Genomic DNA, 14,687 nt, shown 5'->3' with positions numbered 1-14,687 from the left:
GGGTCTGGGTCTCTCTCCATCTTTCACACATACAGTACCTTTGGTAATAAAAAGATTCCTACCTGTGGTGCATATTTGGGTCCTGGATAGGTCAACAGGTGGTTCTGTCCAGAGTCTCCCATCACACCTCAGGGCTACCAAGGTCCTGGCTTAAGGGATTAGAAATTTGGGGCACTTCTCCTGGCTAAGGAGAAAGTGAAACCCTGTCTCTACTAAAAATACAAAATAGCCGGGCGTGGTGGCGGGCGCCTGTAGTCCCAGCTACTCGGGAGGCTGAGGCAGGAGAATGGCTGAACCCGGGAGGCGGAGCTTGAAGTGAGCTGAGATGGCGCCACTGCACTCCAGCCTGGGTGACAGGGCGAGACTCCGTCTCAAAAAAAAAAAAGAAAAATAAAAAGAAAAAGAAATTTGGGGCACTTCCCCAATATTAAAGGACTGTCCAAAAGTCCCCCCTGCCCTTTTTTTTTTTGAGGCGGAGTCTCGCTCTGTCGCCCAGGCTGGAGTGCAACGGCGCTATCTCGGCTCACTGCAAGCTCCGTAGCTGGGACTACAAGACTCCGTAGCTGGGACTACAGGCGCCCGCCACCACGCCCGACTAATTTTTTGTATTTTTAGTAGAGACGGGGTTTCACCGTGTTAGCCAGGATGACCTCGATCTCCTGACCTTGAGATCCGCCCGCCTCGGCCCCCCAAGGTGCTGGGATTACAGGCATGAGCCACCGCGCCCGGCCCAAAAGGCCCCATTTTGATGCCTGTGCGTATTCCAGCTGCGGCGGACGCAGTTTTGTATTTGATACCTGCCCTTGGGAAAACACAAGGTATTAACTGCGTGCAACCTCCTGACTTTCTGTTTCCCCTGATCTGGGAAAAGGGATAGGCAGGTTAAGCTCTACACTGTAGAAAGCCTGTGATAGAGCTTTGAACAAATGCTGCAGCCATTGTAATCACCAAACACTATAGTAAGTGCTGGGAATGAATAAAAACACAATCACCGTCCTACAGGAGTTCAGTATTTAATTAAAAAATTTACAGCATCTGCTAGATTGCAGGCTGTTCTAGACCCTGGAGTTCAAGTAGTGCAAAGTTCCTGTCTTCCTGGAACTTACCAACAGTACTGGAGTTTCAACGTTCTATAAACAAAGATGGGTGAGGACATTAGCCCCGGGCTAATTAAAGCGCTCAGGCCCGCTCCAGACCTGAGAATATCAGCTGAATCTGAATCAACTGTTCTCCATTTCTGTCGGTTGGTGGTATCGCGGGGCCACGGCGACCTCCAGCGGCCACCCTCCGTCTTGTGGTCTGTTCTGGGTCCCCGGGAAGGAAAGGGAGGGGCGATAAGCCGGGTCCTTGGGAGCGTCCTGGTCTCCCTTCGCTTTACAGACTAGGAGGCCGCAGCTAGCTGGCAGTCTCAGATCCAGGTTTCCCATCTCTGGGATGAGAGGAGAGTTCTTCACTCAGGACTGCCAGCGCAATGCAGGTCGTGAAGAACTGCAGGGTCGTTTATCGATACAAAGTGAGTGTTGGAGGAACCCATCAAGACACAGGAAGGGGGAAATCCTAGCGCCGCCAGTCGGAGATGACCAAGACTGAACCTCAGGCCCAGCCCTCCCTTCTCTCTTAGCCTGCAGGTTTTTCTCCTATTCTGGCGTTGGGACCGGATGACAGCTGCGAAACCAAAACGGGAATGGATAAACTGAGGTGCCACTGGGGACCTGTTTCAGAAGTACCTCCTGGGCGGGGCCATCACCGGAAGTGGCTTTAGGCATGTAACCTACAATGCCCGCCTCTAATTGCGCTACCAGTAGGCGACGAGCCGCCTCCACTTCCGGTCCCCAGAGCAGTGGCCAGCAGCCCCCTCTTTACTGCTCTCCTATTGGCTGCCGCAAGGACGCGCTGTGATTTCCCATTGGTCGCGTCTCCCCTCCGGCGCCGCGCCTCCTTCCTCCAGGTATAGTCTCGTCTTTAGGCATCCGATTGGCTAAAGGCTGGGAGGGCGTTTGCCCGACTCGACCAATGAGTGGGGTCGAGAGTGAGGGCGGTGGCTGCGTGATGGGGGCAGGGCGGGACTTGGCGTGGCCATTGGCCAGGGCGGGTACAGGCTAGAGATATGATTGGTTCAGGAGAGGGGCACTGTGGTGGGGTCGGGACTGCGCGGCCTCAGCAGCTGCGGGAGACGGAAGTGGCAAGAGCGCGGCCTCAGAGGGTCGGGCGGACGCCGCCTGGGTGAGTCACCGTGCCCCCTGCACTGCAAGCCTGGGAACCGCAACGACCGCGTCTTGCCCGGCTCCGCCCTGGCCCCCACCGGCTTTCCTGAGTCCCGCCTTCTGTCATTTGGGGCTCCGCCTCCCAGTCTTTAGGCTCCGCCCCTAGAACCTGGGCACCTGGGCTCCCCTGCCAACCTGGCCCGCCCCCTGGGACCAGATCCCCTAGGTCTGAAAACCCTGGGCCTCCCAGGCCTGATCCTTGTCCCTCCTTCCCTCCCTTCCTTCCCTGGGGCTGCTGCCAGTGGGCGGTGAGGCAGCACCTCTGGCTTGCCTCTTGCCGGTTCCCCCATGAGGGAGAATGGCCTAGGGAAGAGGATACTGTGAACAGGGAGGTGGGCAGTACCACAGATGGAGGCTTTTATCCCCGCAGCCTCCCGCAGGGCTCTGCTGCACTGCCTGAGGAAAGCAGGCATGAAGGAAAGTGTCAGTGAAACCTAGGCCTGGCTCCCTAAGTGAGCCTAGGAGGCCCTATCCTGAAATCCCTGTTACTTGGGCTCATTGGACAGATGCTGACTCCAAGGCCTGGATTGGCCTGATTCTGTCCCTGTTGTGTGGCCTCCTCTCCATAACCTCCACCCCACTTGGTGTCAAATACACTCAGGAGGACCTGTGCAGCCCTGCTGCCCTCTGATCACAGGTTGTGGTCCCCTCCCTCTTGTCCCACTCTGGACTCTGCCCCCAGTAAACAGGTCAGGTGGGTACTACTCCCAGACTCAGAGACTGGCAAAACATTCCTGTGGATTCATGCTCCTTCAACTACTGCCACTTCACCCCAAGAGTCAGGGCCTAAAATGAGCCCCAGTTGGGCAGCCTGTGTCTCTTCATAGTTGGCAGTTCTGCTCCCTGAGAAAGAAGTGTTCTCCCTCTGCGTCTGGAAATCAGGACTCCTGAATTCTGCTGAATAATCTTGGATGACACTCATTCCTGTTTCAGAACTTCGTGGCTGACTTCATGCCCTGCAGGATCACTTGTTGCTTTCTCCTCATGTAGCTCCCATTGCCTCTCTCTGGCATGGTGACTTGTGGAGAGACTGGAGTCTCTGTGAGGGAGAAGAATAAGAGTTGTAGAGAAGGTCAGGGGTAGATGTGTGTCATTTGTTGATTCTATGGTAATGTTAATGGGGTCCTTTACTTTTATGTTCCTCTGTCTCCTTACAGTGAGAAGCAGGCAGCCAGTACCCTTGCCACGGTAGAATGGTGAGTACCCTGTCTTTCCTCAGGCCATTGTGTTTTCTGTAATCCATGTGTCTTTCTCTGTGAAGCTGCCCCACCTGTCCTAGACCTTGAGCTCCAGGCTACCCTGTTCAGCTCCTAAACATGTTCATCTGCCCTGGAGATAAATTAGGGTTTCTTTAGATTGCAAAACATCAGCCAGTATACAGCACTGGGACTGGAAGCTTCTAGAAATCATTTTCTGCATGTGCTAGGCCCCACACTTTCCTCCTACTCCCTACCCACCACTGGTTCTATTAACCCTTCATAACAGCCCTCTTCTTGCTTTTCTTGGGTCCCCGGTAGAATCTCTGTGTTCTGGTCTGAAAAGCTGGGCCTTCTTTATCTCAAGATCTTTGGACTTCTGGTGGGTCCTTTGAATATTGTGGATGCTATATCAGGAGTGACTCCACCAAAACTGTGGGGCTTCTCTAGTTCCAGGGTGCTGCTGTTAAGCCACTACAGGTGACAGCTGATTGAATATCTATCAGGATAGCATCTTCAGGGTGCCCAGAATATCACCAGAGGTGGTTTACAATGATCCTATTAATTTTCCATTAACTGTAACAGCCCTTCTCTCACCCCAAGTCCAGGGAAGCCCTTAACTCCTAAGAGCTAGGAGGAGGCAGTGAGATGGGAAAGGCCTAGAGAGCTGTAGGCCCTGGCCCAGACCAGGCCCTTAACCTGGTAGTATCTCTTCGGTGTCTTTTAGGTGTCCCTTGTGCTTAGGGGCAGGTTAAAGAATTCAGTAGATGAGAGGATTTCCTCCTTCCCTCCCTTCCTTCCATAGACATGTGGATTTGGTGTGTGCACTATTGGTTCAGTCTCTTCTCAGAAAGCCTGCTGGTTTTGGCCCCCACCAACAGATAGCTCCTCTTTTTCTCTTCTGGGCTACCCTGAAAAGAGCATGGGCTTCACAGTCAGCTTCATCTAATTTCAAATCCTAGCACCACCACTTAGTTAAATTACATACTTTCTCTCTAAGCTTGAGTCTCACGAGTAAGACAGGATAAGGTTTACTTCTTGGGGCTTGAAAAGTTTTACTGAGATAATGTTAGAAACTGCCTGGCTCATTGTAGATGCTTAATAAAATGTCAGGTTTTCTTTTATTACTCCCTTCTCCCCCAAACAAGACAAAAGCCCTGGTGTCTGAAAGTTACAAGGTGCAGGAAGTTTGGGGTTCCAGCCACCTCCCTCTGTGACTCTTGGTGACATTTTGAGCCCCTTATTCCTGGTCCTTATTCCTTGGCCCTCTACCCAACTCTCTCTACTCCGCTGCTCCTGGGTTTCAAGTTTCGTTTTTTTGTATAGCTTCTGTGGTCGATACTTCTAGCTCTTCACTTTCCCAGACTAAGAAATCCTTTCTCCTCCAAGAAGGGCTTTCTTACCCAGAGATCAGAATGTGAAACAAGGGAGAGATGGAGCTGAAGGAGTAGGGTTGGGTAGGGGCGTTGGAATAAAAAGCTCATTTCCCTTTCCAGGAGCGTGGAATGACTAACCTGGCACCATTCTAAGGGGAAAGAAAGGTTTAACGAAGTCACGGGATTGAAGGACCCTGATGGGCAGGGGCATGGTGGGTAGTGGTTTTGGAGGGAAAGGAGGAAGCAAATGGGGTGCGGGTAGGTGAGCTCCACCTTGGGATCCAGAGCAGGCGTCGGGGGAACTTAGGGGAGGGGGCGCGGGGATGGGTTTGTAAGAGGGCATGGGGTGGCTCACCTTAGAAGAAGGGAAATGAGAAGATGTGGGCGGTCCCGTAGCCCAGATTCCTGAAAGCTCCTAAAGGTCCCTGGAGTAGGGTACGCCCTCCTACGAGGCCCAGGGTCCGCGGGGAGGGAGGAGGCTGGGCTTGTGGGCGGGGCCCGCGGAGCCGCCCCGCCTCTACCTCCGCCTTCCCGCCGCGGTCCCGGGCTCTCCCCTCGCCTGGCTCCCCTCCCTTCTGCACTCGTGCGGGAGGGCGGAGCTGGGCCCGCTCCATTGTGGAGAGGAGGGGAGAGGCGCGCGGGAGCCGCGCGGAGGCCCGGCCACCAGCGCCCTAGCCTCTTGGCCGCCGCGGCTGCACCTGGCGAGCCCCGCAGCCGGGATGCGGCGGGCGCCCGGGGCTGGCGGGCAGCGCAGCGGCTCCGGGGACATGTGCGCTGGCCCAGACCGCCCGCGACCATGAGCCTGACCGCCCGCGTCTCCTGCTCCATGCTTAGCTGCTTCGTAAGTGCCCACCCTGCCTTTGGGGGCCTAGGAGGCACCCGCAGCCCCGCCCAGGGTCAGCCCTCGATTTCAGCCCATCCCCCTTCCCGAGGCCCCTGGCCCGGCCCCGAACGTTTGGGGGGCAGGGAAGGTGGGTTAACCCTTTTATTTCTTGGACTTGCTTCAATCTTTGGGTGCCGGAGATGGTCGAAGGCCAGGAATGGAAATTCTGTGGTCCATCCTGGCCCCGCAGCCACTGCCCTTGACTGCAGATCTCTAGGCCCCGCCCTGCAGGGGTACATCCCTTTACCTCCGCCTCTCCCTCTTGGTCCCACCCGCTGAATCCTTGCTTGGGGATGTGGGATGTGGCTAGTAGGCTGAATGGGATGTTAGGAGGTTGGTCGGGGAGCACGGGATGTCTTTGAGCTGGCTTGGGGCTCCAGTCCCTTCCCTCTTCCACCATTCCATCCCTCACCTGGCATGCCAGCCTTTTCTCCTTGACTGTCCCCCAGACAGCCTCTCTTCTCCATCTTCCCTGCCTCTGCAGGGTTCCGTACCTCTGCATCATTCCCGGTCCTCCCCTCCTCCCGCTCTGGCTGATGCTCCTTCCCAGCTTCCCCCATCTGTCCTCTCAGCTGTCCCCCCACCTTCCCCGTGGGTGTCTGCCGGGCCTCCTCTCTCTCTCTCCCCTGGCTGTCCTTGGGTCTCCTGGCTCCTCCCAGGCGCGTGGATCCCCCCGGGTCCCCTCCCTGGTGGTTGGGAGGGGAGTTCCTTTTGCTTGCTGTGGGTATTCCTCAGGAATTCCCCTCTGATTAGCAGGCAGAGCAGGTTACTTGGCAGGTAATGGGGGCTTGTCAGCAATGTGGGTCTAACAAGAAGATAAGCCCAGCTCTCAAACACGTCTTCCTTTTGAAAGCGTCGGTGAAGGCCCTCTAGAGGCGTGGGACTGAATCCCCCCACCCACTCCTCTTTGTCTCCTTCACCCACCAGATTGAAGCTTCAGTGGCTTGTAGGCGCCTGATTTCCCTTCTCTCTGAAACCAGCTGCCATACCTGGCTCCTTTTCCTCAGGACAGCACTTTCCCATCCCCACTCCTGCCTTACCCTTATGCGGGTCTAAGGGAAAGAGTCTTTCTTTTCCTTAGTTTTCTCTCCTCCATTTTTGAAATGTTGGTTCTATAGGAGAGTCCCTCTTTGAAGAGTGCAGATTCCCAATTCCTCCTGGGGCCTCACTCTTTCCTTAGGCTTAATAGGCTGATATGCTCTCCATTTCACCCTTCCCTGTCTCCAACCAAGTCAGATCTCTTTTCCCTTCTCTGGTGACCAGAACCTTTAGAGGTGTGTGTGTGTGGGTATCTGTGGATTTCTTGGTGGGGAGAGGAGCAGAATGAGCCTGATGGGCTAAGTGGAGCTTGGTGACTTAGGACTGTGGCCTTCCTACAGGGTGAGGAGGGGCCCCCCAGCCTGGAGTACATCCAAGCCAAGGATCTGTTCCCCCCCAAGGAACTAGTGAAGGAGGAAGAGAATCTTCAGGTAAGGAGGAGTTGGGGGCCAGGATAGATGGGGCTCCCTGCCCAGTTAAAAAACACCCTCCCTTCTCCCAAAAATCCTCAAGGGCATCTGGTACCAGAGCTCTGGCTTCATGTTCCCTGGTCTCTGGAGGAGGAGGGTTTGTCTGCGCATCCTGGAGCCTTTGGCCGCAGGGAAGGAAAGGCAGCTTTCCTGTACAGCTGTTGCCTGGTGCTGTTACCGTGGAGAGAACTCTCCTCTCTTGCCTTGGCCCACCTTTTCCAGAGGGGATCCCACAGATCAGGGGCTGTAGAAGAGGATAAGGTGGTCACTCACTTCTGGACTGAAGGTTTCTCTGCCCCTTGACAGGTCCCCTTCACAGTGCTGCAGGGTGAGGGAGTAGAGTTCCTGGGCCGGGCAGCCGATGCCCTCATTGCCATCTCTAACTACCGGCTGCATATCAAATTCAAGGACTCTGTCATCAACGTGAGTTTCTGTATTGTTCTCCTACCCCTAAGCTAGAATCCCTATGAAGTTCAAGGTGGGATTGTTCCAAGGCTGTCCTTGATCATGTCATTAAAAAAGTTGGAGGCCGGGCGCAGTGGCTCACGCCTGTAATCCCAGCACTTTGGGAGGCCGAGGCGGGTGGATCACTTGAGGTCAGGAGTTCGAGACCAGCCTGGCCAACATGGTGAAACTGTGTCTCTACTAACAATACAAAAATTAGTCGGGCTTGGTGGTGCGCACCTGTAATCCCACCTACTCGGGGGCTGAGGTACGGGAATCACTTGAACCTGGGAGGTGGAGGTTGCAGTGAGCCGAGATTGTGCCACTGCTGTCCAGCTTGGGTGACAGGGTGAGACTACCTCTCAAAAAAATAAAAAAAAAAAAGTTGGGGATCCCTTCTGTTTCTCTCTGACCTCATGTTTTCCTGCCTCATTTTCCTAGCTCTGTTTCTGGCTCATTCTCCTTTCTCCTCTTCTCTCTTTCCATTATTCTATTACTGGCCCTTCTAAGGAGCACAGTGGCATTGTTGGAAGAACACAGGCTTTGGAGTCAGGCAAACCTGGGCTCTTTTCCTGCGTTGCCACTCACCAGCTGGGTGACCTTGGTCAAGTCACCTAACTGAGGCTTGATTTTTCTCCTCGTAATATGGGCTGAAAGCACCTGCTGTGCAACGTTATTGGGATCATTAATTGGGATCACATATGCAGAGGACTCCGTACAGTTACCAGGTGCTTAACAGACCCTCAGTAAATGTTGGTTTCCTTCCTGCTATTGATACATTAGTGCCTACGCTAGGGTGAGGGTGAGGAGTGGTACCCAGTGGGGAGTCTGAGCTTCAGTTTGCCCTTCCTCTACAGGTCCCCCTCCGGATGATTGACAGTGTGGAGAGCCGTGATATGTTCCAGTTGCACATTTCCTGCAAGGACTCCAAAGTGGTGAGGTGAGAACAACGGAGCCTCACTCAGGTCCCCTGGCCCTAGTCTTGTCCAGTTCTCTGTGCTGCAGGGTTTCTCTGGTGCAAGAGAGGAAAGATCCTGCCTCACTTTCCCCAGTTGGAAGAAAAGGTGAAGACCATGTTCTGGGTTGGGAGGTCAGTTTACTGACCCATAGGATCTTGACCTGAAAAAATGGGGGTAATGCCTAGTTCATGGAGTCATCGTAAGGATTAAGTGAGATAATGTGTATGTGTATGAAAGCACCGAGGACAATATCTGGCACAGAGCACTCATATTATTGTTGGTTTATTTATTTATTCATTTGATATACATGTATTGAGTACCCTACTCAATGCCAGCCTGTTTTAAGCCCTGGGGATACAGCAGGGAACAAATAGACAAAATTTTGCCGCCTCAGAGAGCTTACATTCCAATGAGGAGATACCAACCGTAAGTAATAAGTAAAATTTGTGAAATGATAGTAAGTGTAAAGGAAAAAAATAAAGCAGGGAAAGGGAATAAGGAGTGCTATGAGGGTGAAGATTGTAAAACAATCAGGCTGGGCACGGTGGTTCACGCCTGTAATACCAGCACTTCGGGTGGCCAAGGTGGGAAGATCCCTTCAGCTTAGGAGTTCAAGATCAGCCTGGGCAACATAGCGAGACCCCATCTCTACTAAAAATAGAAAAAATTAGCCAGGTGTGGTGATGCGTGGGGAGATCGCTTCAGCTTAGGAGTTCAAGATCAGCTTGGGCAACAGGACGAGACCCCATCTCTACTAAAAATATAAAAAATTAGCCAGGCGTGGTGATGCATGCCTGTAGTCCCAGCTACTCAAGAGGCTGAGATAGGAGGACCTCTTGAGCCTGAGAAGTCGAGGCTGCAGTGAGCTGTGATTACACCACTGCACTCCAGCCTGGATGACAGAGTGAGACCCTGTCTCAAAAAAACAAAAGTGATCAGAGAAGCTGCACCGAAAAGGTGGCAGTCGAGTCAAGACTTGAAGAAAGTGGCCATGTGGCTATTTGGTGGAAGAGTGTGCCAGAGACAGAGAACGGCAAGTGCAAAGGCCTTGAGGTGGGTGTGTGCCTGCATATTGGGAGACTGGCAGGGAGGCTGGTGTTGTTGGAGTAGAGCACGTGTGGGTGAGGGTAGTGGGTTATATGACCTGAGAACAAAGCCGGGTGTCAGACACTTTGGCTGTCATGAAGACTGGCTTTTACTTTGAGGGAACTGAGAAACCACTGGAGGATTTTGAGCAAAGGAGTGATGTGATCTGATTAATGTTTCATAGAATCACACTGGCTGCTATATTGAGACTAGATGAAAGAGAATGGGGGCAAGAGCAAAAGCAAAAACTGGGAGACTAGTTAGGAAGCTATTGCAGTTACCCAGATGAGAGATCATGGTGGCCTGTCTGAGGTGGTAGCAGCCAAAGCGGTGAGAAGCATTCAGATTCTGGGTGTATTTTGAAGGTGGAGATGAGAAGATTTGCTGACAGATTTGAAGTGAAAGAAAGAGGAATCTGGATGACTCCAAGGTTTATTAAAAGGATACCTACTTTAGAGCCTACCATGTGCTCAGGTCTGTGGGGCATTCAGAAGGAGCATTCACATTGCCCTTCCCTTCAAGGAGGCTAAACTCTAGCTGCTGGAAGAAGATTTAACATGTGGCAATATGCTATGGGAAAATGTGTTGCTTAGTACTCCAAGTAGGCCAGGCACAGTGGCACATACCTGTAATCCTAGTACTTTGGGAGGCCGAGGGAGGAGGATCGCTTGAGCCCAGGAGTTCAAGATCAGCCTGGACAACATAGAGAGACCCTGTCTCTATGAAGAATTTAAAAAGTTAGCCAGACGTGGTGGTGCACAATTATGGTCTCAGCTACTCAGGGGACTGATTTGTGAGGATTGCCTGAGCCCAGGAGGTCGAGGCTGCAGGGAGCTGTGATCGTGCCACTACACTCCAGCCTGGGTGACAGAGCAAGAGCAAGACCCTCTCTCAAAAAAAAAAAAAAAGGTATATATATATATTCCAAGCACATTAAGAATCAAGAGAGGAAGGAGTTTCTGGAATAGAGTAGGCTGGGAAGGCTTCAAGGAAGAGGTGAGACTGAAACTATCTTCAAAGCATCAGTAGGATGTGGCTAGGCAGAGAGGAGACATTATCAAGCAGAAGATAAACCAAGGAGATGGGAAGGATGTGAGCAGAACTTCCCGCCTGAAGCAGAAGGTTTGAGTTAGGGAGTCATGGGAGATAACACTGGTCCATTAGGGTAGGGACAAGGAGTGCAGACGTTCAGGGCCACATGGTAGCATTTAGATTTGATACGAGAAACAGTAGCGCCCCATTCGAGAGGATAAGTATGCCTCAAACACAGGAGTTCTTGGGAAGAGAATTATCACAAGAGACAACTTCTGTTGGGTGTTGGCCAGTGTCCCTCGTCCCCCCACCCTGGGTCCCCACTGCTTTACCTCTTGCTTTGCAGCCTTCTCTCCTCACAGCCTTCCTGTGGCTGTGTTTTTGGCCCTGATAGCCCCATGGCACAACTGCACTTTGCCTCACCTAGGCCTGTGGCTTCTTGCCTGGCAGGTGCCACTTCTCCACTTTTAAGCAGTGCCAAGAGTGGCTCTCACGGCTAAGCCGAGCCACAGCAAGACCTGCCAAGCCTGAAGACCTCTTTGCCTTTGCCTACCATGCCTGGTGCCTGGGGCTGACCGAGGAGGACCAGCACACTCACCTATGTCAGCCAGGTGAGGCCAGTCTATTTTCTTTGGGAGGCTGCTTCTTACCCCTTAGTTCTCATCCCTCCTCCACTCCTGCACATTGGTGCTCTGGGAAGCTAACCATCGTGGGGGCTCTGTTGCAGGTGAGCACATACGTTGTCGACAGGAGGCGGAGCTTGCAAGGATGGGCTTTGACCTGCAGAACGTCTGGAGAGTCTCACACATCAACAGCAACTACAAGTGAGAGGGTTGGGGACCAAAACACCTTCCACACCAAACTACTTCCGTGTTTGGATAAAGTGTGGTGGGCACAGCTTCTGAGTCTGAGAGGGAGGAAGGCTCATGGTTTCTCTTCCCACAAAGCCATCCCCAGGGATCCTGTCATCACATGTTTTAGACCCAGTGCAGTGACCCCCACCTGGTCTCTTCTCAGATTGTGCCCCAGTTACCCCCAGAAGCTGCTGGTTCCTGTGTGGATCACTGACAAAGAGCTGGAGAACGTGGCTTCCTTCCGCTCCTGGAAGCGGATTCCCGTGGTTGTGTATAGGTGAGGCAGTGGGGCTGGGAAGTAGGGAGGCCATTTCTTATGCAACAAGGAAAGAGTCAAAATTGGAGATTTTGGGTAACCTGGTTGACTGAGAATTGACACTCTATGGGGAAGTATGAAATAACTTTAAAACAAAAACTATCTTAGTTTTTTCTCCTAAGAATAAGGCTATTAGGGAGTTTATTCATTCCCCCCCTTTTTTTAGAGTGTGTGTGTGTGTGTGTGTGTGTGTGTGTGTGTGTATAAAATAGTACATTATTTTATACACACATTAGTACAGGGGTTGGCAAACTGGCCTGCAGACAAAATCTGGCTTATAGCCTATTATATAAAACGGCTTGTAAGCTGTGAGTGGTTTTTACATTTTTAAAGGGCTATTTTTAAAAAAAGCAAAGAAGAATACATGACAGAAACTGGTTGTGACCCACAAGGCCAAAAATTGTTGTCTGGTTTTTTACTGAAAATGTTTGCTGATCCCTGCACTAGAATATTGTAGCTAAAATAGAGTGAGACAGGAAGTAACCCTGAAGTTTGGAATTGTTCCTATTCTTGGCTCAGCCAGGCCTTGTTCTCCTGCTGGGTGTCTGTACCTGGAGCAGTTGCTGTGCAGATTTGATGAGTCAAGGTCACCTTGGACATACAGAGCCCATTTGAGAAAGTATGTGTGATGGTGCTTTGTAAACGGTGAAGCCTGCTAGTGACGTTGGGGCTTTTGGTTGCTGTTATGGCCTGGATGAGTTGGTAGCCCCTGCTGGCTCTAGAGACTTTGGTCTAACCCCCTGAGGTAGGCCTCTGGAGGCTTCGAATGCCAAGGGCATTACGGTTTCTTCTGTTTTGTCAGACACTTGCGCAATGGGGCTGCCATCGCCCGCTGCAGCCAGCCAGAGATCAGCTGGTGGGGCTGGCGCAATGCTGATGATGAGTACCTGGTCACGTCCATTGCTAAAGCCTGTGCCCTGGACCCGGGGACAAGGGCCACTGGGGGCTCCCTCAGCACCGGGAATAATGATACCAGCGAGGCGTGTGATGCTGACTTTGGTAAGGTGTGGATGATGCTAACCCCCCAGGGAGCAGGCCCCCTCCTTGGCTTCATTGGCTCCCAGGGAGTCCCCAGTGAGAGTCTGGGAAGATGACAACACACGGGGTGCTGGGGTCCCTGCCTTGTCAGAAGCTGTGGGGTATGAGGGGTCTCTAGTTGCATGTTCTGCCTTCTGAGAGGGAGTGCCAGAGGGCCAGCAAGAGGTTGGGTGGCTGGCTGACTCAGGGACTCCTTCCTGCTGTGTGTTTAGATTCTTCTCTGACTGCGTGCTCTGGAGTGGAGAGCACAGCAGCTCCTCAAAAGCTGCTGATCCTGGATGCGCGATCCTACACGGCAGCAGTGGCCAACCGGGCCAAGGGTGGAGGCTGTGAATGTGAAGGTATTGCTGTTATCCCAGTGTCTGCAGCCAGCCTGTGCTCTGGGTGGCTTTGGTGAGGAGGGGGTTGGGGGCCATTTGTATAGTGGAAAGAGCCCAAACAAACCTGGCTTGTAATCACAACTTTGCTACCTACTAGCTATGGCTATGACTATGCTGAAGTTGCTTAATCTGTCCAAGCTTTATTTTCTCTTCTATAAGAAGGGGATGTTACACACTTTGCAAAATTGTTGGGATGATTAGAAGTTGCATATGTAGGCTGGGCCCAGTGGCTCATGCCTGTAATCCCAGTACTTTGGGAGGCAGAGGCAGGCGGATGGCTTGAGCTCAGGAGTTTGAGACCAGCCTGGGCAACATGGTGAAACCCTGCCTCTATCAAAAATACAAACCATTAGCTGGGCATGATGGTGCATGCCTGTGGCCCCATCCCAGCCACTTGGGAGGCTGAGGCATGAGAATCGCTTGCATCTGGGACGCAGAGGTTGCAGTGAGCTGATATCATGCCACTGCACCTCTAGCCTGGGTGACCATGAGACCCTGTCTTAAAAAAGAAAAAGAAGTTGTATATATAAAATTATTGCCACAGAGCAGCTACTATTTATTGAGAATTGATTATATATTGTCTTTCTAAGTACTGCTATCATTTGTCATTACTGTTACTATTATTAATATATGGCACCTGAGTCTCCAGAGATACAAGTGTGATTCAGATTTCAAGACTGTATTTAGTTCCTATCCTGGAGTGCTCTGCCCTGCCAGGAAAGCTTTGTCCACCAGGACCACTCTTGTCCTGGATGCCTGTTTCCAGGACGTGCTTTTTTTGTTTGTTTGTTTGTTTTGAGACGGAGTCTCGCTCTGTCGCCCAGGCTGGAGTGCAATGTGCCATCTCAGCTCACTGCAACCTCCATCTCCCAGGTTCAAGCAATTCTCCTGCCTCAGTCTCCCGAGTAGCTGGGATTACAAGTGCCTACCACTATGGCCAGCTAATTTTTATATTTTTAGTAGAGATGGGGTTTCACTGTGTTAGTCAGGCTGTTCTTGAACTCCTGACCTCAGGTGATCCAACCGCTTCAGCCTCCCAAAGTGCTGGGATTACAGGTGTGAGCCACCGCGCCCGGCCTAGGACGTGCTTTTATGTCCCACTCTCCTGTCATGTCTACAGAGTACTATCCCAACTGTGAGGTCGTGTTCATGGGAATGGCCAACATCCATGCCATCCGGAACAGCTTTCAGTACCTCCGGGCTGTGTGTAGCCAGATGCCGGATCCTAGCAAGTAGGTGTTCCCTACTTGGATTCCTTCCAGTCTCATTCCTTACCCAGTACCTCTTATTCTTGGAAGATTAGATGGGGAGATGAGAAGTTTGGAGAGCAGGAGACCTGAGGGCCTGGGTG

General features: G+C 52.3%; 1 protein-coding gene and 1 long non-coding RNA gene across 8 annotated transcripts in view, besides 4 other annotated features; one reads left to right on the top strand and one right to left on the bottom strand.

Moving 5' to 3' along the window:
• Window positions 1–203, bottom strand: part of SEPTIN4-AS1 (SEPTIN4 antisense RNA 1) — a 37,089-nt gene extending 36,886 nt beyond the window's left edge. The window contains exon 1 of the long non-coding RNA NR_110810.1: window positions 63–203. This is a non-coding gene — a long non-coding RNA (SEPTIN4 antisense RNA 1). The remainder of the gene's footprint in view (window positions 1–62) is intronic.
• Window positions 899–1,644: an enhancer, noted in NCBI's record as "H3K27ac-H3K4me1 hESC enhancer chr17:56595757-56596502 (GRCh37/hg19 assembly coordinates)". NCBI's record gives its function as "activates a minimal SCP1, AML or CMV promoter by ChIP-STARR-seq in naive H9 embryonic stem cells {active_cell/tissue: H9 hESC(naive)}" and the evidence as "EXISTENCE:reporter gene assay evidence [ECO:0000049][PMID:30033119]".
• Window positions 993–14,687, top strand: part of MTMR4 (myotubularin related protein 4) — a 29,511-nt gene continuing 15,816 nt past the window's right edge. The window contains exons 1-12 of one of the 7 annotated variants that reach the window (XM_047437019.1): window positions 1,003–1,513; window positions 1,622–1,948; window positions 3,422–3,460; window positions 7,099–7,188; window positions 7,534–7,650; window positions 8,529–8,611; window positions 11,199–11,359; window positions 11,476–11,572; window positions 11,766–11,879; window positions 12,721–12,917; window positions 13,169–13,297; window positions 14,457–14,568. In XM_047437019.1, the coding sequence (XP_047292975.1) occupies window positions 3,458–3,460; window positions 7,099–7,188; window positions 7,534–7,650; window positions 8,529–8,611; window positions 11,199–11,359; window positions 11,476–11,572; window positions 11,766–11,879; window positions 12,721–12,917; window positions 13,169–13,297; window positions 14,457–14,568 (1,103 nt within the window). In that variant the 5' untranslated portion in view covers window positions 1,003–1,513; window positions 1,622–1,948; window positions 3,422–3,457. Of the gene's footprint in view, window positions 1,949–2,159; window positions 3,337–3,421; window positions 3,461–4,956; window positions 5,049–5,401; window positions 5,678–7,098; window positions 7,189–7,533; window positions 7,651–8,528; window positions 8,612–11,198; window positions 11,360–11,475; window positions 11,573–11,765; window positions 11,880–12,720; window positions 12,918–13,168; window positions 13,298–14,456; window positions 14,569–14,687 lie in introns of those variants that run through there. The other 6 variants (NM_001378066.1, XM_011525460.4, XM_006722168.5 and 3 more) reach the window with 6 other exon arrangements.
• Window positions 1,452–1,551: an enhancer, noted in NCBI's record as "active region_12484". NCBI's record gives its function as "activates an Ori minimal core promoter by ATAC-STARR-seq in GM12878 lymphoblastoid cells {active_cell/tissue: GM12878}" and the evidence as "EXISTENCE:reporter gene assay evidence [ECO:0000049][PMID:35858748]".
• Window positions 5,219–5,678: a silencer, noted in NCBI's record as "silent region_8771". NCBI's record gives its function as "represses an Ori minimal core promoter by ATAC-STARR-seq in GM12878 lymphoblastoid cells {active_cell/tissue: GM12878}" and the evidence as "EXISTENCE:reporter gene assay evidence [ECO:0000049][PMID:35858748]".
• Window positions 6,539–6,598: an enhancer, noted in NCBI's record as "active region_12483". NCBI's record gives its function as "activates an Ori minimal core promoter by ATAC-STARR-seq in GM12878 lymphoblastoid cells {active_cell/tissue: GM12878}" and the evidence as "EXISTENCE:reporter gene assay evidence [ECO:0000049][PMID:35858748]".

The sequence above is a fragment of the Homo sapiens genome, chromosome 17 (genome assembly GCF_000001405.40).
Source record: "Homo sapiens chromosome 17, GRCh38.p14 Primary Assembly".
Lineage (NCBI taxonomy): Eukaryota > Metazoa > Chordata > Mammalia > Primates > Hominidae > Homo > Homo sapiens.
This window is presented reverse-complemented; position numbering and strand designations above follow the sequence as displayed.